We start from the raw sequence: 25,701 nt of genomic DNA, 5'->3' as shown, positions 1-25,701 counted from the left end.
GGGATTAGTGCCATTATAAAAGAGGACTGAAAGAGCTTGTTTGCCTCTTCCACCATGTGAGGACAAGCAAGAAGGTATCATTTATGAACCAGAAAGCCCTTAACAGACACTGAATCTGCCAGTACCTTGATTTTGGACTTCCAAGCCTTTAAAACTAGGAGGAACAAATTTCTGCTCTCTATAAGCTATTCAGCCTATGATATTTTGTTATAGCAGCCCCAAAAGACTAAGACAGCATACATGGAAATATTTCAAGGAAATAACTTATCACTGTATCATAAGTGTCTTTGGCATGCTTGCTTACAATATCTAACACAACAGTGAGGACACAGCTGCAGGAATAATCACTACATTTGTTTTATGCTCTTTTGCCTTCTTTATTTGCAGCCAAATTTATATGGTCATCTGTTTAAACAATCCCAAACTAGTATTGACTGAGGTCATGTAGCCTAACATACTTCCTCCTACTAGAACTTTGTTACTCTAGGTAAAATCTTACAGAGAGATTCATTGCTATGAAAAATGTGACTGTAAAAACTCAGAAAAAGGCAACTCCTCTCTCCTTTTTCTTTAAAAAGATAATTTTTTTGGGAAAAAGAGCTCACTTTATTTGGGGGTATATATAGTATTTCATATTTAAGAATGAGGGAATATTATTAATAATCACTAACCATAATGGAAGTGCCTCTTCCTCCAGGAAGCCTCTCTGGCTCAGCCTAGGTAAGCTGCCCTGCTATGTTCCCATGGCACCTGCTTTTGCTCCATTAATCATGTTTTGCTGTAATTGTTCATTTAGTTGGGCCTCTCCTAACAGATTGTAAATTCCAAGGGGCTTTTTATTTTCACTGTCTCTGGTACAGGAGCTGGAATAGGTAGTAATTTAGTAATTATTTTTGGATGGACAGATAAAGGCATGAGTAAGAAATAAGTGACTTAGATGGTCTGACAATTTTCCCTGCTTCCATCCCTCAGCAGATGGGAGTGACTGATTCCTTCAGCCATGTGATCAGGGCTATGGCAAAAGTCCCCAGAACCCCCTGGGGTCAGGACCCCAGAGTAGCCCAGAATCTCAGCTAAAGCAGCGATGTCTCCCATGGCAGCTTAGTCCAGTTCACTTCCTGAGCCAGCCTGACCCATCCTGGGTGTAGGGCCCTGCTGAGCCTCATGGTGCACGGTGCACCAGCAGGGGTCTGGAATGAGTCTGGTGTTGAGGAATGAGGACCAGGAGGCACATCAACCAACAACAAGTTTCCCTGTTTCCCCATTCGGACTGAAGCCCTGCCATGCATATCAAAGGACAGGGCCTGGCTCACTAACTTCCATCCCCTCACTGAGAGGGAGTTGGGGGCAACTGGATCTTCTCCTGCTCACTAGACCATAACCTGGGCACCTAACAGGAATGTAATGGCCCAGAACTATAGCAGGCCACTTCTGAGTCTCACCCACCATTCGAATTCATGCCTTTTGACCCCTTATATGATTCAGATCTCCAGGGTCAGGGGCAAGTCACACCTTTGGACAGTATAATGGTTATCTATTGAGTACTTACTAGGAGTCAAACACTGCCTTTATATATATCACATATAAATCACACACACACACACACACACACACACACATATATCCTCCACAACAATCCTATGAAGAATATGAAGAAGGTCATTTTATTATTGCCATTTGTCCATCAATTTATAGAGTGCCTCCTATGTGCTGGCCCCTCCCCACAGATAAGGAAGCTGAAGCTCAGAGCAGTTAAGTAATGTGTACAGGGCGAACGAGCTAGTTAATGGCAGAGCATGTTATGAACTGGGCCGCCTGACTCAGGCATCTGATGCTTAGCCACTGTGCCTAGTGACTTTTTACGCTGAGCCTAGGAATCAGCTCCGGAACCCCTGAAATGGATATAACTCAAAGGCCTATGGCCAGGGGAGCTCTGGTCTGAACCCCCCGGAATCGCTGGGTATAGCTGGATTATTCATGGCGTCTCAAGAACCATATGGAGGAGAGGAAAGAAAGCACACATAGCCCTTTGGCCTCGAATTTATTTATTTATTTATTTATTTTTGAGACGGAGTTTTGCTCTTGTTGCCCAGGCTGAAGTGCAATGGCGTGATCTCGGTTCACCGCAACCTCTGCCTTCCGGGTTCAAGCAATTCTTCTGCTTCAGCCTCCGGAGTAGCTGGGATTACAGGCATGTGCCACAATGGCTGGCTAATTTGTTTATATTTTTACTAGAGACAGGGTTTCTCCATGTTGGTCAGGCTGGTCTCAAACTCCCGACCTCAGGTGATCTGCCCACCTCAGCCTCCCAAAGTGCTGGGATTACAGGCATGAGCCACCATGGCCAACCCAAGGCCTGGATTATTTTAGACACAGCTTGGAGGTCCCCTTCTCTAGGCCATACTGGGTACTTTTCAGAACCATCACAATTCATTATTTGGAGTTAAGTTTTGAATGCATGAGTAACCCTGAGTGAGGTGGGCAGCAGTCATCATCAACCTCGGTTGGTTGAGTTGATGTGTTTCATTCATCAGTGTTCTTTGTTCCAGATGGAAGCTAAGGCAGAAACACGAAGAGCATGTGGATTGGACAATGGAGGTGGGAAGAAGACAAAGGGGAATACACGTGTTTGGGCAAGGGGGTCACCCAACAAAGAGAGGTGCTCTGTTAATTTTGGGGGAGAAACACTGAATGCCAAGCAGGAGACAACCAAAAATAAACTTCGCTGCCTCTCAGTTTTACCAAAGACTAATAAGGCTTCTGGGGATCTTCAGACATAGCATGTGTAAGACACCTCTGGGTTATATTCAACACCCCAAGTATGAATCCCCACTCATACTTCCTTGCTGGGCTGCTTTGTGCTAGTTACTTAATCTCTCTGAACCTTAATTCTCATTTGTAGGTGGAGATTGTCTTATCTCACAGGATCCCCATGTGGATCAAGGGGTGTGGTCCTGGATAAGCTCTCAGTGAACAGCAGTTCTTATTTCACATGGTGGGAGAAGAGGGTCTGTATGCTGCACCCTCCTGAAGTGACCTGGGCTTGGCTGCTGCTTTTGAAAGACACAAATTGTTACTTGTCATTTGATAGCCAAAAGGTGCTCCCCGCAACTGTGCTTAAACATTGTCTTATGTTAGTTAGGACACAAGGCTGGCCTGCTAGGCCTTGGAAATGGGTATGTCAGTGAGTTTATGCCACCTTCCCATAGTGGCAGAGGTGGGAAGGAAGTTGGCAGGTGAAGGGTTACATAAGCAAAAGTGGGCAGTACCCACCTACGTGTGTTGGCACCAGCATTGGTTCCCTTGGAGGTGGTTCCCTCTGCCCTAGAATGACCCTGTTGGAGTCAGATCAACTGATAATCAAAGCCCTTTACAAAAACAAGGTCAGCCCCCTGCAAAGAAAGCTCCATTTCCAGTGGGGCCAAGGTCCTGTTTATTTCATCTGTGGCTTTCTCAGTTTAGTAGGATGCCTTTGATAAGCTGCAGTCAGCACCCCCAGTGACCCTTAATGACAGCCTGACTCAGCCAAACGCTTCTGGTCTCAGGTTATGGATGAATACCCACTGAACTCTGGATACAGATCTCTGAGGCTGTGCAGATTTCACATCCCTCTTGAAAAATGAAGTGACAAAGTCCCTGTTTAATTCAGGCCCTTGCCACTTCCCCATGTCATACATTCTAGCCTTCAATTATGGCTTTTGGAGAAATGCTTCCACAATGATGGTTCTGGTGCTTGCTAATAAATTTCCATGATCTATTCATCTTCTTAAGGAGGCTCAGTTGAGTCAGGCTCAGCTAACCAGGGGAGCTGGGATAAGCCCTCTCTACATTCTCAGACATGATAGAGGAAAGTTGTGCCCTCCAAGAAGGTTGTTAATTGATGGTCATCCTCTTAGCTTCTTTCAGACTTCTTTCATCACATGTGGTCCACATGAAAAGTATTATTTCTCTATCTCAAACTGGAGGGAGGAGAATAGCTTTGGCTAATGTTTGAGTGTTTGTTCAAAGTCAGGTGCTGGTCTAAGTGCTTCTCATGAATGAACTCACTAATCCTCATCTGCCCAGAGGTAGCTGATATAATTATATTTGCTTTGCAGATGGAGGAATGAGGCACAGAGCAGTTGAGTAACATGACTTGTAAATGGTGCTACCAGGTCCCAAAGCCAGGTGCTCAAACACGAGAACTCATGCTTTTACCTAGAGCACTGAGCTGCCAATCATTATTGCTTGGGATTTAACGATGACCAAGTAATATAAAGCCCCTCCCTGTCAGGAGTAGGGCCAGAATTTCCACTTAGGCAGAGCTAGAGGCAACTGTGGGGTAAAGGGGATGACTAAGAGGCTTGCCCTAAAGCTGCTTTTTCACAATTTACATAAAACTGAGAACATGTTCATGACCCACATTGCTATGGTTTGAATGTGTTCCCCAAAGTTCATGTGTTGGAAACTTAATCCCTAGTGCAAAAGTGTTTAGAGGTGGGACCTTTAAAAGGAAGGTGATTAGGTCATAAGGGTTCTGCCTCCATGAATGAATTAATGCTGTTGTTACATGAGTGGGTTAGCTGTTGTGAGAGATAAAAGGATGAGATTGACCTCATTTTCTCTCATGTGGACACATGCTCTCTAGCCCTTCTGCCTTTGCCGTGGGCTGACACAGCAAGAAGGCCCTCACCAAATGCAGCCCCTCTATCTTGGACTTCCCAGCCTCCAGAACCATGAGCCAAATAAATTTCTTTTCTTCAACATATTATCCAGTCTCAGGTATTCCGTTATAGCAGCAGAAAACAGACGAACATACATGTCAATGAATGGGGGTAGTTGTCTGATGTGCTAAAGCCCTTCCTTTCATGCACGTCCCTGTGAAGAGACCACCAAACAGGCTTTGTGTGAGCAACATGGCTGTTTATTTCACCTGGGTGCAGGCAGGCTGAGTCCGAAAAGAGAGTCAGCGAAGGGAGATAAGGGTGGGGCCGTTTTATAGGATTTGGGTAGGTAAAGGAAAGTTACAGTCAAAGGGGGTTTGTTCTCTGGCGGGCAGGAGTGGGGGTCACAAGGTGCTCAGTGGGGGTGCTTTTTGAGCCAGGATGAGCCAGGAAAAGGACTTTCACAAGGGAATGTCATCACTTAAGGCAAGGACTGGCCATTTTCACTTCTTTTGTGGTGGAATGTCATCAGTTAAGGTGGGGCAGGGCATATTCACTTCTTTTGTGATTCTTCAGTTACTTCAGGCCATCTGGGTGTATACGTGCAAGTCACAGGGGATGCGATGGCTTGGCTTGGGCTCAGAGGCCTGACATTCCTGCCTTCTTATATTAATAAGAAAAATAAAACAAAACGATGTTGAAGTGTTGGCGCGGCAAAAATTTTTGGGGGGTGGTATGGAGAGAGAATGGGCGATGTTTCTCAGGGCTGCTTCAAGCGGGATTAGGGGCGGTGTGGGAACCTAGAGTGGGAGAGATTAAGCTGAAGGGAGGTCTTGTGGTAAGGGGTGATATTGTGGGGTTGTTAGAAGAAACATTTGGTGATGGCCTGGATACGGTTTTGGATGAATTGAGAAACTAAATGGAATAACGGAAGGAGAAAAACAGGTATAAAACGTCTAAGAATTGGGATGACTCAGGATATCTGATTAGAGAGTGCCTAAGGAGATTCAGCATAGTCCTGCCAGCAAAGATTATTTATTTACTTCAAGAGTTAAGTGTGGCAGTTTGGGGATAGCATCAGGAGATATCAGCTGTGATGGCTTGGAAAAACAGTGTAAACTGGCAGTGTAATCAAGAGCAGGGCATGTATGAGTAGTTGAGAACGGTGAATAGGAGTATGTATGACTAGACAGAAGATAGTAGGGATGCCAAGTTTTTTTGGGGGCACAGTCTAAGTTGGTCTGGTGTCTGGAATGAGACTGGGGCCTAATAAAAAGAGCATCTATACAGGAGCTCAAATGGGCTGTACCCTGTAGCATTCCGAGGACAGGCCTGAATTCTGAGAAGGGAAAGTGGTAAAAGTATTGTCCGGTCCTTTTTAAGTTGGTGGCTGGCTTGGTGAGGTGTGTTTTTAAAAGACCTTTAGTCCATTCTACTTTTCTTGAAGACGGAGGACCGTAAGGGATATAAAGGTTTCACTGAATACTAAGAGCCTGAAAAACTGCTTGGCTGATTTGACTAATAAAGGCTCGTCTGTTATCAGACTGTATAGAGGTGGGAAGCCTAAACTGAGGAATTATGTCCGACAGAAGGGAAGAAATGACTGCGGTGGCCTTCTCAGACCCTGTAGGAAAGGCCTCTACCTATCCAGTGAAAGTATCTACCTAGACTAAGAGGTATTTTAGTTATCTGACTCAGGGCATGTTGAGTAAAGCTAATTTGCCAGTCCTGGGCGGGGGCAAATCCTCGAGCTTGATGTGTAGGGAAGGGAGGGGGCCTGAATAATCCCTGAGGAGTAGTAGAATAGCAGATGGAACACTGAGAAGTTATTTCCTTGAGGATAGATTTCCACGATGGAAAGGAAATGAGAGGTTCTAAGAGGCGGGCTAGTGGCTTGTACTATAGCATAACCTGCCTTTGCTGGTGTGTGGCGATTAGGCCTGGTGGAACTGCCATCAATAAATCAAGTGTGAGCAGGGTGAGGAACAGGAAAGAAGGAAATTTGGGGAAATGGGGTGAATGTCAGGTGGATCAGAGAGATACAGTCATGGGGGTCAGGTGTGGTATCAGGAATAATGTGGGAGGCCAGATTGAAGTCCGGGCCAGGAACAACGGTAATTGTGGGAGACTCAACAAAGAGTGAGTATAGCTGAAGGAGCCAGGAAGCAGAAAGTATATGCGTCAGGTATGAGGAAGAAAATAGATTTTGGAAGTTATGAGAACTATAGAGAGTGAGTTGAGCACAGTTTGCGATTTTGAGGGCCTCTAAAAGTATTAATGCAGCGGCAGCCGCTGCACGCAGACATGAGGGCTAGGCTAAAACAGTAATGTCAAGTTATTTGGACAGAAAAGCTACAGGGTGCGGTCCTGGCTCTTGTGTAAGAATTCTGACCGCGCTAACCATGCCTAGGAAGGAAAGGAGTTGTTGTTTTGTAGAAGGTGCTGGGGTTTGAGTGATCAGTCAGACACGATTGGCAGGGAGAGCACGTGTGTTTTTATGAGAATTATGCCAAGATAGGTAACAGATGAGGAGGAAATTTGGGCTTGATTGAAGTAATGGGGGCTGTCTGTGAAGCTTTGCGGCAGTACAGCCTAGGTAATTTGCTGAGCTTGATGGGTGTCAGGGTCAGTCCAAGTGAAAGCGAAGAGAGGCTGGGATTAAGGGTGCAAAGGAATAGTAAAGAAAGCATGTTTGAGATCTAGAACAGAATAATGGGTTGTAGAGGCAGGTATTGAGGATAGGAGAGTATATGGGTTTGGCACCACGGGGTGGATAGGCAAAACAATTTGGTTGATAAAGCACAGATTCTGAACTAAGTTGTAAGGCTCTTCTGGTTTTAGGACAGGTAAAATGGGGAAATTGTAAGGAGAGTTTATAGGTTTTAAAAGGCCATGCTGTAGCAGGCGAGTGATAACAGGCTTTAATCTTTTTCAAGCGTGCTGCGGGATTGGATATTGGCGCTGAGTGGGGTAATGGTGATTAGGTTTTAATGAGATGGTAAGGGGTGCATGATCGGTCGCCAAGGAGGGAGTAGAGGTATCTCATATTTGTGGGTTAAGGTGGGGGGATACAAGAGGAGGACGCAAAGGAGGCTTTGGATTGGGAAGAAGGGTGGCAATGAGATATAGCTGTAGTCCAGGGATAGTCAGGGAAGCAGATAATTTAGTTAAAGTGTCTCAGCCTAATAAGGGAACTGGGCAGGTGGGGATAACTGAAAAGGAGTGCTTAAAAGAGTATTGTCTAAGTTGGCACCAGAGTTGGGGAGTTTTAAGAGGTTTAGAAGCCTGGCCGTCAATACCCACAACAGTTATGGAGGCAAGGGAAACAAGCCCTTGAAAAGAAGGTAATGTGGAGTGGGTAGCCTCCGTATTGATTAAGAAGGGGACGGGCCTACCTTCCACTGTGAGAGTTACCTGAAGCTCAGCGTCCTTGATGGTCTAGGGGGCTTCCGAGGCAATCGGGCAGTGTCAGTCTTCAGCCGCTAAGCCGAGAAGATCTGGGAAGGAGTCAGAGAGCCTTGGGCCAGAGTTCCAGGGGCTCTGGGAGTGGCTGCCAGGTGAGTTGAACAGTCCGATTTTCAGTGGGGTCCCACACAGATGGGACGCGGCTTAGGAGGAATCCCAGGCTGCGGGCATTCCTTGGCCCAGTGGCCAGATTTCCGGCATGTGTAGCAAGCTCCTGGGGGAGGAGGTTCTGGAGGAACGCCTGGCTGCTGCGGTTCAGGCGTTTGGAAGTTCTCTTGTGCTGGAGATGTGGCTGGGGTTTGTCTCACAGTGGAGGCAAGGAATTGCAACTTTTTTCTATTATTGTACACCTTAAAGGCGAGGTTAATTAAATACTGTTGTGGGGTTTGAGGGCTGGAATTTAATTTTTGGAGTTTTATTTCGGAGCAGAATGGGTAATACAATGTATTTTGAGAATAAGACGGCCTTTTGGCTTTTTAGGGTCTAGGGCTGTAAAGCGTCTCAGGGTTGCTGCCAAACAAATCATGAACTGGGCTGCATTTTTATATTTGATGAAAAAGAGCCTAAACGCTATCTGATTTGGGATAAAGAAAAAGGAGCATTAACCTTGACTATGCCTTTGGCTCCAGCCACCTTTTTAAGAGTAAATTGCTGGGCAGGTGGGGGAGGGCTAGTCACGGAACGAAACTGTAAGCCGGACCAGGTGTGAGGAGGGGAGGTGATAAAAAGATTATAGGGTGGAGGAGCGGAGGCTGAGGAAGAATTGGGACCTAGCTCGGCCTGGCGAGGAGGGGAGAGGTCAGATGGGTCTGTAGAAAAGGAAGATTAGAAAGACTCAGCGACGCTTGGTGTTGGTACTGAGGGGACAGGCAGGAGGGAAAGAAGGAAGATTTGGGACGGGTTGCACTGGGCACAGAGACTAGGAAGGGACTGATGTGTAAAGGATGCCTGGACGTCAGGCACCTCAGACCGTTTGCCTATTTTACGACAAGAATTATTTAGATCTTGTAGGATGGAAAAATTCAAAGTGCCGTTTTCTGGCTATTTGGAACTACTGTTGAGTTTGTATTGGGGTCAAGTGGCATTGCAGAAGAAAATAAGGCATTTAGGTTTTAGGTCAGGTGTGAGTTGAAGAGGTTTTAAGTTTTTGAGAACACAGGCCAAGGGAGTAGAAAGAGGAATGGAGGGTGGAAAGTTGCCTATAGTGAAGGAAGCAAGCCTAGAGAAAAGAGAGAGTAGAGAAACGGAGGGAAGGGGTTCGGGGGTTCTTACCTTCCAGAAAAGTGGGAAAAGGGGTTGGGGCGCAGAGATAAGAGGTCAGGGCATGGAAATAAGGGATGGGGCACAGAAATAAGGGGTTGGGGCATGGAAATAAGAGGTCGGGGCACAGAAATAAGGTATTGGGGCACAGAGATACGAGGTTGGGGTGCGGAAATAAGGGATTGGGGGTTCTTGCCCCCTAGAAAAGCGGGACTTGCCACTAAGGGTGAAAGAGAAGGGTTTGAGGGGTACTTGCCCCTGCCCCAGGAAAGCAGGACTTGCCGCTAAGGGTGAAGGAGAAGGGGTTGAGGGGTACTTGCCCCTGCCCCAGGAAAGCAGAGAAGGGGTAGAGACAAGGAGAGAAGGGGTTGAGGGGTACTTGCCCCTCTCCCAGAAAAGCAGAGAAGGGGTAGAGACAAGGAGAAAAGGGGTTGAGGTACTTGCCCCTTCCCCAGAAAAGTGGGACTTGCCGCTAAGGGTGAAGGACCAAGGCAGGCATCCCTGCGTGGTCTGACACCCTTGAAACGTGGGTGTATAATCAGAGAGGCGTCCCTGCAATGATTAAACACCAAGGGAAGGCTGCCTTCCCAGTCCGTGACCGGCGCCGGAGTTTTGGGTCCACGGATAAAACGTGTCTCCTTTGTCTCTCCCTGAAAATGAAAGGAATTGAAATTAAGAGAAGGGAGAGATTGAAGAATGGAAAGAAGAAAGTGGTTGAGGGACAGTGAGAGAGGTTGGAGAAGAGAGTAAGAAGAGGCCACTTACCGGATTTGAAATTGGTGAGATGTTTCTTGGGCTGGTCGGTCGGAGGACCTGAGGTCGTAGGTGGATCTTTCTCACGGAGCAAAGAACAGGAGGACAGGGGATTGATCTCCCAAGGGAGGTCCCCCGATCCGAGTCACAGCACCAAATTTCATGCACGTCCATGTGAAGAGACCACCAAACAGGCTTTGTGTGAGCAACATGGCTGTTTATTTCACCTGGTTGCAGGCAGGCTGAGTCCGAAAAGATAGTCAGCGAAGGGAGATAAGGGTGGGGCCGTTTTATAGGATTTGGGTAGGTAAAGGAAAATTACAGTCAAAGGGGGTTTGTTCTCTGGCGGGCTGGAGTGGGGGTCGCAAGGTGCTCAGTGGGGGAGCTTTTTGAGCCAGGATGAGCCAGGAAAAGGACTTTCACAAGGGAATGTCATCACTTAAGGCAAGGACTGGCCATTTTCACTTCTTTTGTGGTGGAATGTCATCAGTTAAGGTGGGGCAGGGCATATTCACTTCTTTGGTGATTCTTCAGTTACTTCAGGCCATCTGGGTGTATACGTGCAAGTCACAGGGGATGCGATGACTTGGCTTGGGCTCAGAGGCCTGACACTTCCAATCCATGTTTTTATAATACCAACATTTTCCTGCCTAATGTGAAAGAAAATGAAGCATGGGGTCAGGAGGCTTTGAGGGTAAGAGTGAAGTTAGTGTTAAGGGTCTGGAGGTCTCAGTATATCAGTGAGATATTACTAAGGTGACATGAAAAGAAATTCTAGTTCACATCCTTGGCAGAGGAAGCCCATGTTGGGAAATTGTCCGGCAAGGATGAAGTCAGGCATGACTAGGTGGTAGGGAAGGTGCAGAGATGCTTGAGAGGACACACCCTGCATTGCTTTTCTCTTCTGGGAGTGGCTGTGAGGGAAATATACAGTTGTGTGGTAGGAATTTCCAATGCTTTAGGCATTGACCTCTGCTTTCCAAGGGATATATTCATTAGGCAACCAACTGGGAGAAGGTAAGGGTATGGATGTGGGTTAAGGACACTAACTAGAAGTAATAAACTGACCACTGAGTAAATTAATTCTCACTCTTAACAGCCAGCCCTCCCTGTATATACTCCCACTCTCACATGAATATTTTTGTTGGTTAGCCTGCTCATTGCAAATGCATTGCAAGTTCACTGCAAAGAGAAATCTCAAATCTTGCAAAAGATGCATTGTTTTGTGAAGCTGATTCAAGTGAGTTGGAGAACTGCAGAAAACACATACCAAGTCATCAACAAACATTGTTTGGCAGGGATGGGACAGTTAACAATTAAAGAAGAGAAACAGCACAGCATGGAAGGTGGTTTAAAAGAGTTGAATATTAAAGGATACAAAAGGCCTTTGGGAAAACTGATGAAGACTTCTATGCAACGCTTTTGCAGAGGTCCTCAGTATGATCATGTTGTGATTCAAATGAGAATGCTATGATGTGTGCTATCGTGTCAGTCACCCACCTCTGATGGCCAGATTCATGTGCTCATGCTCTTTCCTCTCATCACAGCCAAGGCTGCAGGATGGAAGGCAGTTCCCTGTGGGCTTCCACACTCAGGACTCCTGCTTTTCACTTCCCTCCTGGGTTTCTCTATGCTGTAGACACCAGCACTGCTTCCCAAACAGACACAAGTAGCCCAGAAGTGCTGGGAGCAATAATGGCCCCAGGAACAACCCATAAGCAATGTGGGCAAGGAGCTGATGGAGAAATAGTCCTCCAGTCAGTCCCCAGGTGGATAACTCTGAGATGCATTCTATGCCCTCCTCAGAGGTTACTGGTGAGGCTACATCCTAGCTGTCAACAGGAGTGACCTTGATAATAATGCACCCTGCATTGCATTTCTTCCTCTCCTCCCTCTCCTTGGTTCCTCAGCCATGCTACTTGGATCTCCTGCTGAGTCAACCAGCAGCACACAAGTCCTTGACTCGGGATTCACTTTAGGGGGTACTCAAGTCATCATATAGTTTCTCAGAAAGCTCATATCTAAGCCTCCTTTCAGTCTGGGTTCCAAGAATTAGCTCAAAGTTTTAATAGTAATCTATATAGTGTTAAATGTAAGATAAAATAAAAATTTTCATAATTTTTAGCTTAATTTTTAAAGACACAACCCTAATCAAATCTTTTCTTGCTTATTCATTATAACACTTTTTTAATATTTTAAGTGGATTTACTTTAAATGATCTTTTCCTGTCAGAAAATGGGAGCCATATATATATATATGGAATACTCCCATCTGGAATTTTTTTTTTTTGAGTTGGAGTTTTGCTCTCATTGCCCAGGCTGGAGTGCAATGGCAAGATCTTGGCTCAACACAACCTCTGCCTCCCAGGTTCAAGCGATTCTCCTGCCTCAGCCTTCTGAGTAGCTGAAATTACAGGCATGTGCCACCATGCCTGGCTAATTTTGTATTTTTAGTAGAGATGGGGTTTCTCCATGTTGGTCAGGCTGGTCTTGAACTCCCGACCTCAGGTGATCCTCCTACCCCGGCCTCCCAAAGTGCTGGGAGTACAGGCATGAGCCACCGCGCCTGGCCCAATTTTTTTTTTGAGATGGAGTCTTGCAGTGTCGCTGGGGCTGGAGTGCAGTGGTGCAATCTCGGCTCACTGTAACGTCTGCCTCTCAGGTTCAAGTGATTCTCCTTGCCTCAGCCTCCCAAGTAGCTGGGATTACAGGCACCCACCACCATGCACGGCTAATTTTTTTGTATTTAGTAGAGATGGGGTTTCACTATGTTGGCCAGGCTGGTCTTGAACTTCTGACCTCGTGATCTGCCTGCCTTGGCCTCCCAAAGTGCTGGGATTACAGGTGTGAGCCATTGCAACCAGCCACCCCCACCTGGAATTCTATAACTCACTTTTTAACTTATGTTCTATGTCTTTTTCCATTCATTAAATATTCTTCTAAAACATGAACTCCATCATGTGACTGGGCCATAATTTATATAATCAATATACTATTGTGATATTTTGAAGTTGTTTCCATTTTTAACAATACCATAAACAAAGGTGAAGGAAGAGAATAATGCCAATGTATGAACGTTGGGCAAGTTTTCAATTCTTGTGCCTCAGTTTCCTTATCTGATCAGGTGGGGACAAGAATGGACAAACCTCATAGGGCTACTGTGAGGATTGAGCACATTAATACTTTTATTTATTTATTTATTTTTATTTTACTTTAAGTTTTGGGATACATTTGCAGAATGTGCAGGTTTGTTACATAGGTATACACGTGCCATGGTGGTTTGTTGCACCCATCAACCCGTCATCTAGGTTTTAAGCTCTCATGCATTAGGTATTTTCCTTACACATTAATACTTTTAAAGTGTTCAAAACAGTGCTTCACCCTACTCAGCGGTCTATAAAAGTTTGCACTGATGGTGATGGTGATGATGATGTCTCCTCTTTCAATGAATGGCCATTGTCCACCCAGGTACTCAATCCAATCAATTCTCAAGACTTGTGAGTTATACTTCTTGATTTTGTTCACTTCCTGCACCCCTCTGCCACTGCCCTATTCAGGCTACTCTCCCCTCTGCTTTTGTCCTATCTCCTAAGTGGTCTCCTTGCCTTAAATTTTGAGCCCTTCCAATCCATTCTCCACCCCTTAGTCAAAGTGCTTTTTCTAAAACAAAACTCTAAATAGCTCAACTAATTTATATTCTTATTAGCATTGTAAGAGAATACCTATTTCCCAAAACTTTACTATCTATAATTATTTTTAAAACATTTTTGAAAAATGGTATTTTATATTTTGTTTCTTGGCAAAGATTGAGCTTTAAAAAACATACGTTTGACACTTTTATCATTCCCTTTGTATGATGTCTGTTTGCGTCTTTTGCCCTAAAAGGCCTTCAATATTATGACATAGTAAATGCTATCTATGTTGTGGAGCATAAATTTGAAGTTGGCTGAAATTTGCCTTGGCCAGCCTTGGCTCTGGGCCTAGGACCCTCCAGATAAGCCCTTTTTATGGTTGCTTCTAAATGTCATGTGCCCATCTGTTTTAATTTGGCCCAGTCCATGAGGACTTGAGAACAGGACTCCTTGAAGCACATAATAATCATTGCCTCAAAGTGGCCTGTTCTTCATCTCTGGATGGCTTCCCATAATCCAGCTCCTTCCGGATGGCCATTTTTAGTTGAGACAACCATGCCATTTTGAAGCCTGCTGCTTTTGGAGGCTAAATATAATTTCTCTGGGAAAGGGGCCAACTGCGACAGTTTATTTCCATTTGTCCTATGTCTTGAGGCAAGACTGAATGTGAGAGGAAACCTGGAGCCAGTGCGAAGAACAGCATGGCAGCATCAGGCACCAGCCACCACTGTCCACACACTGCCCGGCGTGCGGGGTCCAGAGTCTACGCACACCCCCACGTTGGAACCCCCAGAGGGGATAGGCACCTTAGTCACAGCACGCTGCAGGACAGGTTCTTTCAGGCTGAAATGATAGGGCTGGCTGAGTGTGTGCCTACCCAAACCTGACAGGAAGATTTTGCCTAAATTCAATTTCTCCTCATCCAATGAATAACCGTAGTCCACCCAATCCAATCAATTGAATTACTAGTTCTTGAAAAATGAAATCATTCATAAAAAAATGAGCAGCATATTTTAAGGTTATAAAACTCATAAAACATTAAAAGGTGAAGTATATATTCGGATATTAACAATGGGCTTAATCTTTTATTTATTTATTTATTTATTTTGAGACAGAGTTTTGCTCTTGTTGCCCAGGCTGAAGTGCAATGGCGTGATCTCAGCTCACTGCAACCTCCGCCTCCTGGGTTCAACTTATTCTCCTGCTTCAACCTCCTGAGTATCTGGGATTACAGGCATGTGCCACCATGCCCAGATAATTTTGTATTTTTAGTACAGACAGGGTTTCTCCATGTTGGTCAGGCTGGTCTTGAACTCCCGACCTCAGGTCATCTGCCCACCTCGGACTCCCAAAGTGTTGGGATTACAGGTGTGAGCCACAGCACCCGGCCAATCTTTTTTTAAAGAAGTAGCATAAAATATATGTTAAACACAAATACTAAAAAATATGCCAAAAACCCTGTAAAACAAATAACTAACTAAAGTGAATGGTTACAGGATGCTGATATATCCATCCCATACAGGATGGTATTTCATACTTCTTGGGAAAACACGTCAAGCCTTCTATGATTCAATTCTTGACCTTTTCAGTCGTGATCCTCCCCTCATCCCGAGTACTATACTTACCTCTCCAGCCATATTGAACAGCTCCAGCTCCCCAACTATGTCATACTTTTGCATATTCTATTTTATACTTTTGCATATACTAGCCTCTGTACTTTTGCATATGGTATTTTCTCTGCCTGGGTTGCAACTGAAAAACTTCTACTCTTCTTTCAAAACCCAGACTCAATCCTCTTTGACCCACCCAAATAGAAGTAATTAGTCACCCCTGTGTTCTGGTATGGTTTCCAGTTCACACCTTTGTTTTAGCACTACATTTTCCATGCTTGCGTCTCCTCTATTGGAGTGTGAAAACTTTGAGAGCAGAGACTGTCTTTAGTTATTCATTCATATCCATTCAACAAATATTTGCTAAGTGCCTATTATGTGCTGCGTGACTTGTCTTTGCATTCGTTATATGTACTCTGCTGAGCATGGTGCTGGGAAATGGCAAGTGCTAAAGCATGGGGGATGGGTGGGATGGAGTTATTGAAGATGGCCACATAGCCTGTCCTTAGCATGGGAGACTCGCCCTCTGCTACAGTGTTATTGAATCATCCTGGGCTTTTTCTCACTACTCGCAGGTGGTATTTCTTCATGTGATGTCACTGCTTGGAAGAGAGGTAATATTCCCCCATTCCACCCCACCTCAGAACTCCTCATCACTTCCTGACCTCCCAGCCTCACTCTGTGTCCAGAGATTCAGATGCAATCAGAACAATTACCTGAATAGTCAACTTCTTCCCCCACAACTGGCTTGCTTTCCCGGTAAAGACGGTGTCTTGTCACATCCAGAAAGGCCAAAGTGTGCCCACTTCCTGGCACCACTATGGACAGAATCCTGGGAGCTGTGCTAGGAGAGCATGTCACCAAGAAACGGCAGGTCATAGGAAGTGGGGGCAATATCTCTTTTTAAATCAAAGAGAGAGGACTGTAAGTACAAGATCCACAAAGATGGTTTTGATGACTCAAGTCCTGATACTGTTTGGAGAGGTTGTTACTGGGGACAGGGGAGGGAGACAGGGAGGGAATGGGAGGGGAGAACAGAGAAATGCATGACCCAGTCTGCCATCTACCATTGACAGGAGGATGGGAGGTGCTTTTTCTTTTCTGTCATTTATGCTTTCATTCTTGATTTTCCTGACTCTAGATCCCCAGGGCCTTCCTTCCATAGAGTCCTCTGCCCTCTGTCAGCTTGGTCTATTTCCCAGACACCCAAAGCAGCCTCACTGACATAAACTGTTTATCCCCAACCTGATCTGTGATTGCACCTCACATTGGCCACTGGGCATAGATCAGCATCCTGTAACCATTTGTGCTAGTTAGTTATTTTACAGGGTTTTGGGGGGTCTATTTTTGATATTTGTGTTAGACATATATTGTATTCTCCTTCTTTAAAAAATAGATTAGGCCCATTGCTAATACTGGTCATATACTTCATCTTTTTATGTTTGATGAGTTTTATAACATTAATATAAATGAGCATACATATGCCACTCATATTTTACACTTGAAACTTAAAAAAATATTGCTTGGAGCATTTCTGCCAAAAGACAGCTTTTAGGATTTTAAGACAGAATCCTTATCAGGATCTCCTGGGGACGCAAAATTTAGCTTTTAGTTGCTACCTGAAGACAATCATTCTTTATAAAACTCAATGTCTCCTTTCAGATCTTTTGAGGGATGTTGGGAAGATCCCTCTGCCCTCTCCCTGGGGCCCATCATATGTTCTGCAACAGGCTAAGTTCCTGAGTTCTCAGGGGGACTGCACAGGAGTCTGCACCAAATGGACATCCAGGACACCCCTGCATCCTAGACTGTGTGTTTCTTATGCAATCCAAATGGACTATATTCCTACATGGAGATTGAGTCTTAGTGATGCTTTTCACAATAGTGGTGGCACCTCCAGGGGAAAAGTCACATCATAGTCCAGTTTGGAGGGTTGCCGAGCCACTCACTTTCACGTTTAAGTTTCCAAATCCCGAGTGTGTGAGAAATTAATCACTGGACATCTCGGGAGATAGAGTGAACACTGGTGGTTATGAATGAAGCTTCATTTAAGCAAGTTATTACACCTTTCAGGTATAATCAACTAACTGCATCTGGGATCCCACAGTGATGGATTTGTACCCAACTCCATAGCCTTAATAAAGTGAAAAACAGACAAGAGCTCAGACTTTATTTTAAAATGTACATGCTTTTGCTTTCCATTTCTTAGAAAAAAAATGCATAGATGAGATAGTAGAGTATAATGAGTAGAACCAGGGGCTCTTGAAGTCAGAAAAATTGAGTTTAAAACCTCAAATCCACACTTTGTAGGTGGGTGGCCTTGGACATTGTCTTACTTTGTTTGGTGTTGCTATAACAGAATACTTGAGACTGGGTAGTTTATACAGAAAAGATTTATTTGGCTTATAATTTTGGTGGCTGGAAGGTTCAAGATTGGGCAGCTGCATCTGCTGAGGGCATCAGGCTGCTTCAACTCATGGTGGAAAGTAGAAGGGCAGTGGGTCTGTGCAGAGATCACATGGAGAGATAGGAAGCAAGAGCGCTGACTGAAGAAGCCAGATTCTTCTTAGCAACCTGCTCTCTCCAGAACTAATCCATTCCTGAGAGCGAGAACTCAGCCCAGAAGAAGGGCCCTAATCTATTCATGAGAAATCTGCCCCCATGATCCAAACATCTCCACTAGCCCCCACCTCCCAATACTGCCACACTGAGAATCAAACTTCAACATGAGTTTTGGAGGGGACAAACGAAAGCAGACATATTGTTTAATTTCTCTCAGTCTCAGATTATTCAGCCGTCAAATGGAGATAATCACACTGACCTCACAGAACTCTTAAGAAGAGTCAAGGACACAATGGATCTAAGTGTTCAGCACAGCACCTCGTAGCTAGAACTCAGTCAACAGTAGGAAGATAAGGAAATGAAAACCAACCTGGCTTTTGAAAGGTTTGAAATATTGAAGAGAGATTTTCCTGGTCTCATTGAGATCTCCAGATTTCTTCTTTTGCTTGGTGCCTGTACAGGTTGCTGTCTCTAAGTCAGTGGCTGGAGCAAGTGCAGCATGGCTGGAACTCCGTCGCTGTCAGTGAGGCATCCGCTCAAGGACGGCAGCCTACTGCACGCCAGCACCTTGCTCTAGGATTGCCCCAGCTCTTTCTGTGGAAACCTGGAGCCTGATGATAAATCCCTCTTACTTGAGGTAACTTGGAGGCAGTTTTTTAGAGTTAACATAGTTTAAATAAACCATCGATCTCGAATCTAGATCAGAAGATGGAAAACTTTTTATATAAAGGGCCAGGTAGAAAATATTTTAGGCTTTGTGGCCCATATGGTCTCTGCTGCAACTATTCGATTCTCGTAGCATGAAGGCAGTCAAAGATAATACATAAATGAATAGGTGTGGCTGAGTTCCAATAAAATTTTATTTATGGGCACAGAAATGTGAATTTCACATCATTTTCTTGTGTTGTAAAATATTCTTCTTCTTTTAATTTTTCTAAAAGGACATTTTAAAATGTAAAAAATACAAAAATAGGCAGTGTACTAGATTTAGCCCACGGGCCATATAGTTTGCTGACCCTGATCTAGAAAGATGTTTTGTTAAAAATGAAATTTATTTTTCACAGCTCTAATGATTTACTGAGAATTGTGACAAAGTAGTGATATGTTGCCATTTTATTTCAGAGAAATTCTGACCTAAGCCTGAAGGAAATTGCTTTCTAACAAAATAAAATACATTTATTGAATCTTAGGAGATAAGGTTCACACTTTTATATGTGGCTTAATCCCCACCTGGGGCATACAGGACAGTAAGACCTTTAGATTTTACCTTTTTGTTAACTAAGCGTGGTCTCAGGCTTTGCCATATTTTGTTTAATTGGAAAGTTTAACATTAGAAGACATGGGGCAAAATAATAACAAAGCAACAACAAATGACAAACACATTTCGCCCTAATCGATTATACTGAGTCCACACTATTGACTACCTCAACTTTGAAGTAGTTGAAAAGAAATACAGGAAAAATAGGAAATGCTGAATGCCCACCATATATCTAGAATTGTTACCACCATTCTACAAATGAAGAACTAGTACTCATTTAAGTGTTTTTTTTTTTTTTTTCAAAGCTCACACAGCTAATAGATGCATAAGCTGGAATTCAAACATAGCACATATGACTTTTTTTCAACTTTTATTTTAGATTCACGAGGTACACGTGCTGGTTTGTTACATGGGTGTATTGCATGATGCCGAGGTTTGAAGTACGAATGATCTATCATCCTGGTACTGAGCATAGTACCCTGCAGTTAGTTTTTCTGCCTTTCCCTCCTTCCGCCTCTTCCCTTTAGTAGTCCCCACTGTCTATTGTTGCCAACTTTATGTCCACGAGTACCCAGTGTTTAGCTCCCGCTTGTAAGTCAGAATATGCAATATTTGGTTTTCTGTTCCTGTGTTAATTCGCTTAGGATAATGGCCTCCAGCTGCATCCATGTTGCTGCAAAGGACATGATTTCTTTCTTTTTTATGGCTGTGAAAAATAAAATGTTGTATCTATCACCCTACGTTAGCTTTCCGCCGGTTAAATGTGTGTGTTTATTTAGTGCCGACCATGCCTGCCCTGTGCTAAGTTCTCCGTATACATTATCAGAACTTCAAGAAGAAATCAACCAATCCACCATCATAGTGAAATATTTCAACACACTCCTCTCCATAATTGACCCATGAATTAGATACACTGTGTCACTTTTAATGTGCAGGTAGATTTTATCTTTCCTATTTTACACTTGAGGAAACTGAGGCTCAGAGTGGTGGTTAACTTGTTTAGGGGCCACATGCCGAGCAAATGATAGAACTGAGATATAACCCGGATGTCAGGATTTCAAAGCCCAGGAGATTTGCATTGACCTTCATGGCTTCCCCGCACCCACCAACCTCAAAGTCATTTAGAAACTTATGGGATAGGCAAAAAGGAAGACCTGGAGAGGTAGGGACAGAGTTGAACACTGACCTTTCAATCTTCCAAATCCCAATCAAGGGTTTCTCCAGAGAGTTGGGTTCTGTTAGGGATAACATTGAGGAAGTTTGATCCAATTACCAGCAACAGGAATAGTTATTTGTATTAGGTTTTGTTTTTTAAATCACACTGAACAAGCATTACTATCAGCCAGGAATTAATGGCCACACACAGCGAGAGACACCCAGGAGTGAAGCAATAATTACTGAGGTCATCGACCTCACTTCGGGGCAAAGCTGACTTAGGGGTCCTGTCACTGCTGGAAATGACAGGATGCAAGTCAATGGATGCCGAGCCACCCTGGGTATAGTTCAAGCCTGTCTGCATTAAAATGATGTCAACTAGATTGAGGGCATTTGGAGACCAGAAAGATAAATAATAATAGCTTTGAAAGGGGCTGACTCAGGAAGGTCAGTTTCTGATTTGACAGAGTTGCAATGGGGGCAAGTGATGACTGAAGATTCCTTAGGAGAGCCATTTGCCTGCACTTGGCTTGGGAGTAGAAGAAGGAGGTCACGTGATGGGTTTGAATTGTTCCAGAGGTCGTGAACCAATCTCTTTTAAACAGAGAGAGAGAGAGATGGGTTAAAAAATGAGAAAGAAGCAAAATAGCAAGAAAAACTTGAAGCTTACCATAGACCAACATTGGGATAGCTTCTAGAAGGAAGCCTGTGTGTGTTTATTGTGGGAGAAGCTAAAGTAGGGTGTAAAAATGAGATAATAAGCAAACAGGAGCGAACAATCTTGGCTGACAACGAACAGCAAGGAAATGCTGGGCCCTATCTGCTTTCTCCCATTATTACCAAAGTGAGCAGATTTCAAGGTATGAAGCCATAATAGTAGATAGGAAAGTTTGCTCCAAGGCTCATGCCCATGGGCATGTGGGGAACACAGGGAGTGCCAGAGATGACAGGAGGATGTTCCAGCTCACATTTCTCCCAGAAGCAGACCCTGAGGCAAGAATCCAAGTGCAAATATGGCAGCCCCCTTATCTATGGGTGATACGTTCCCTGGTGAATGCCTGAAACCTGCAGAGAGTACAGAATCCTATACATATATATATATATATATATATATATATATATATATATATATATATATATATAAAATGTTTTTTTCTATAGATACCTATACATGATAAAGGTTAATTTATAAATTAGGCACAGTAAGAGATTAACAATAATAACTAATAATAAAATAGAACAAGTATAAAAATATACTATAATAAAAGTTATGTGAATGTAGTCTTTCTCTCAAAATATCTTATTGTACAGTATTCGCCCTTCTTATGATGATGTGAGATGATAAAATGCCTACGTGATGAGATGAAGTGAGGTGAATGATGTAGGCATTGTGATGTAAATGTAAAATTCCGGAAATAGACAATGCATAAGTTTTGAATAGGGCTCAGTTCTGAGTACTATGACAAAATATCGCACCATCCCACCCAGGACATGAGTCTTCCCTGTGTCCAGCATCTCCACATTGTGGCACTGCTCACCTTGAGTCACCTAGTAGCCCTCTGATATGATTGGGCTTTGTGTCCCCACCCAAATCTCATCTTGAATTGTAATCCCCATAACCCCCCATGTGTCAAGGGAGAGACCAGGCAGAGGTAATTGGATCATGGGGGCAGTCTCCCCCATGCTGTTCTCCTCATAGTGAGTGAGTTCTCACAAGATCTGATGGTTTTATAAGGGGGCTCTTATCCCTTCCTTGGTGCGTCTCCTCCCTGCAGCCTTATGAAGGTGCCTTGCTTCCCCTTGGCCTTCTGCCATGATTGCATGATTGTAAGTTTCCTGAGGCCTCCCCAGGCATGCTGAACTGTGAGTCAATTAAACCTCTTTCCTTTATAAATTACCCAGTCACGAGCAGTTCTTTATAGCAGAGTGAAAACAGACTAATACACCCTCTCAGTTATCAAATTGTCATGGTATTGCTTGTGTCCAAGTCCCCTTTATTTTACTTAAGACTGGCCCCAAAGCACAAGAATAGTGATGTGATAGTTTTGGACTGGATTGACTGCGGGTAACTGAAACTTTGGTAAGCAAAACTGTAGATACGAGGGGACTACTGTAGTTTTTGGGAGGTGATTGCAGGAAGCACTGGTGAGGAGTGGGGCAGTAAGACTGAGATGGGAAGGCAGCCAAGTAAAGCCCCTCATCAGGCAAGTTGTTGCTGTGGACACTGAGGAATGCTGGGAGCCAGCATAGAGCACAGGCCTTGGAGTCATCCTATCTGAGGGCAGAGGGAGCTGGGTGGGCCCCAGAGGGCACAGTGGGTAGAGGGAGCTGTAACAGTTAGAGCGAGGCTGTGGGAAAAGCATCATGGGTGCTGATTGGCAGGTGAGAGTTGGGCTACATTTACAGTGATGGTAAATGCAGAGGGGATAGAGTTGGGCATTGCCAACATCTGTGCAGGGCACCTCTCAGAAGAATCACCAGGGAAGTAAAGATTGAAGAGTAATGGTTTTACATCTGCGCACACTCCGGGCTAAACAAGCAGGGGCTGTGGGAGAAAAGGAGAGACTAAAGCTGTAGACCAAGAATACAGCAGCTACAGAGAAGAAAGCAGATTCAGTGAGGGGCCAATGATGTCAGAGTGAGGACCAGAGAGCAAGAGAGCTAAAGTTGAGAATTTTCCTGCCTGCTGCTCCCGTTCCCTGTGCAAAAAGAAAACTGTACTTGCCTGTCAGGCTTAATCATTTCAGTCCTCCATGTTCTCATACTGAGCAGCCTGCTAGCACAGATGAAGATAGATGGTTTTCTCCTCCTTGAGATTGGAGCTGGACATGGGAGAAAAAGTTTGCTATGTCAAAAAAATTAAGCTGCTTTTCTTGGCACAGAAAGTTCCACAGATTAGGGAAAAAAGGATTTGTGAGTCCTCCTTTTTTTTTTTTTTTTTTTTTTTGAGACGGAGTCTCGCTCTGTCACCCAGGCCGGACTGTGGACTGCAGTGGCGCAATCTCGGCTCACTGCAAGCTCCGCTTCCCGGGTTCACGCCATTCTCCTGCCTCAGCCTCCCGAGTAGCTGGGACTACAGGCGCCCGCCACCGCGCCTGGCTAATTTTTTGTATTTTTAGTAGAGACGGGGTTTCACCTTGTTAGCCAGGATGGTCTCGATCTCCTGACCTCATGATCCACCCGCCTCGGCCTCCCAAAGTGCTGGGATTACAGGCGTGAGCCACCGCGCCCGGCCGTGAGTCCTCCTTTTAATCGGTCTAGTAGTCAGACTGTTTTTCCCAAATGAATTCCTGGGCCAGTATAAACTTCTGCTGGGGCTGACTCTGCCATTCCTCCCCTTACCCATTCCCCTCAGAAGAATGAGCCCAGCCAAGGCCTCTTCTGATTCAAGCTAAGCTTCTGGAAGGCAGCCAAGGAGTCAGTCTTTGGCAGGATTACGGGGTCTCCCTTCAGCAAACATGCCCTATTCATCCCTTGGGTCTTGAAGTGGGCTGTCTTGGGGGCTCATGGTATGACCTCTCTTCCTATCAGTGGGGCTTTGATTTTTGCTGTTACTTAGGGCATAATGTAAACGCCTCTGAACTCAGGGCATCAGCCCAGCCCAGGGAACCAAGTTGTAGGAGGCTGAGTAATGGCTTCCAAAGCTATGAGGCTTCCATGTTTGGCAATGTAGAAATGATTACTCTCTATAGTAGTTCTCCAGGGAGGGGAGAGAGGGAGAGAGAAAGAGATTAATTTAGATTAATTTCAAGAATTGGAATTGGCTTCTGCAATTGGAGGAGGCCTGGTAAGTTCAAAATCTACAAGACAGGCTGGAAACCCAAGGAAGAGTTGATGAAGCCGCTCAAGTCTGAAGGCTAAGAACTCCCTCTTCCTCAAGAGAGGTCAGTCTTTTTCTCAAGGCTTTCAACTGCTTGGATGAGACCCACCATTTTATGGAGATAATCTGCTTTATTCAAAATCTACTGATTTAAACATTAACCTCAAATTTAAAAAAATTACCTTCACAGCAACATCCAGATGTGTTTGGCCAAACATCTAGATGCCATGGTCCAGCTAAATTGATACCTAAAATTGACCATCATATTCCCCCCATTCTACTATTTTTTTGTTAAACAGATGAGAAAACTGAGGCTCAGAAAAGTATAAAAACCTGCTCAAAATCGTGTAGCTAGTGTGTGATTTGACACACAAGCCATGCCTTAGCCACCATGTTATAGAGAGGTTGCAGATATAAACCCAGCTTTAGACTGAAATTGGCTGTGCAGAAATATCCCAATTCCCTGAGCAGATTGGAAACTCATTCCTCCTTCATCACACCCAGTCTGGCCAACAGGCTGAGGTGGCCTTGACAAACCTGAATTCTGCTTCTTCCTACTTACTGCTCACTCTTAACCTTCTGAGTCCTCTCTGTAGGTCGCCTTCTGTCCTTCGTACTTCTCTGTTCCCTGGCTAAGTTTCCTTCAGCACATGCTTTCCACTGCTTTCTATTTTTCTCAAGTTACTTCTAGCAATTCACAAAGCTTTGGGATACCTACATTTAGTGAGAGAAAGCTCTTAGTCCCCACAATGAGTCAAGCTAGGACACATTTAGTTGGGGATAGTGAAGGGGTTTCTCTTCTTTACCCCGTCGCTCTCAGCGAAGTGAGAAGAGAACTCAAATGTCACCACTGGGAAGGCCGAGGGTGTGTCCTCAGCAGACCATGAAGGCACGGCCACCTCTTAGACATCTTTGCACCCTGTGTCTGTCAGTGTCCAGTCAGGAAAACTGAAACATGCCAGAGATTTCAATCAGAGAGAATTCTATTTGGGTAATTGACTGAAAAATCTAGATGGCATATTTCAATCAGAGAGAATTCTATTTGGGGAGTTGACTGAAAAATCTAGATGGCATAAGGAGAACAGTAAGGGAAACCACAGATTAGTAACTGCGGAGAGTTGCTACTGCTCCTCAGGCCATGGAGAAAAAGGCAAAATGATGCACCCAGGGAGTTCAGTTCATCACAGAGGCTGCTGCCATTAGAACCACGTTGCTGCTGCTGCTGTAGCACCAGAGTCTTCCTGCTGTGGGTCCTGCCTTGACCACCACTATGGACCCAACCACTGCTGCTGCCAGCACTGCTTCTAGGAGCTGGAAAACATGGCTTAACCCTGGACTTGGGAGTGCATTTTTAGGGAAATGCCTGAGATTGATGCAGAGAGGGAGTGACGGTAAGGGTGTAGCTATGGCTATAAAGCTCCGTGGATATTCACACGTCAGTGAGTGTGTGTGAACTTTCACCACATAGAACCCACACCCGGTTGGTCCCCATCTGGAGCTCCCATTGCCCACTGTCCTCCCTCACAGCACTTGGCACTTAGCCA

General features: G+C 44.6%; 1 long non-coding RNA gene across 1 annotated transcript in view, besides 3 other annotated features; it reads left to right on the top strand.

Moving 5' to 3' along the window:
• The window catches only part of LOC101927066 (uncharacterized), a 494,634-nt gene that overhangs the window by 234,996 nt on the left and 233,937 nt on the right, over positions 1-25,701 (top strand). The window lies entirely within an intron of this gene.
• Positions 3,307-3,601: a silencer, noted in NCBI's record as "tiled region #2413; K562 Repressive DNase unmatched - State 8:EnhW". NCBI's record gives its function as "represses a minimal TATA promoter and a strong SV40 promoter by Sharpr-MPRA in K562 cells {active_cell/tissue: K562}" and the evidence as "EXISTENCE:reporter gene assay evidence [ECO:0000049][PMID:27701403]".
• Positions 4,398-5,197: an enhancer, noted in NCBI's record as "OCT4-NANOG-H3K27ac hESC enhancer chr8:98218533-98219332 (GRCh37/hg19 assembly coordinates)". NCBI's record gives its function as "activates a minimal SCP1, AML or CMV promoter by ChIP-STARR-seq in primed H9 embryonic stem cells {active_cell/tissue: H9 hESC(primed)}" and the evidence as "EXISTENCE:reporter gene assay evidence [ECO:0000049][PMID:30033119]".
• Positions 5,198-5,997: an enhancer, noted in NCBI's record as "OCT4-NANOG-H3K27ac hESC enhancer chr8:98217733-98218532 (GRCh37/hg19 assembly coordinates)". NCBI's record gives its function as "activates a minimal SCP1, AML or CMV promoter by ChIP-STARR-seq in primed H9 embryonic stem cells {active_cell/tissue: H9 hESC(primed)}" and the evidence as "EXISTENCE:reporter gene assay evidence [ECO:0000049][PMID:30033119]".

Source organism: Homo sapiens, chromosome 8 (genome assembly GCF_000001405.40).
Source record: "Homo sapiens chromosome 8, GRCh38.p14 Primary Assembly".
Taxonomy (NCBI): domain Eukaryota; kingdom Metazoa; phylum Chordata; class Mammalia; order Primates; family Hominidae; genus Homo; species Homo sapiens.
Note: the sequence above shows the minus strand (reverse complement) of the source record. Positions and strands in the feature narration are given on the sequence as shown.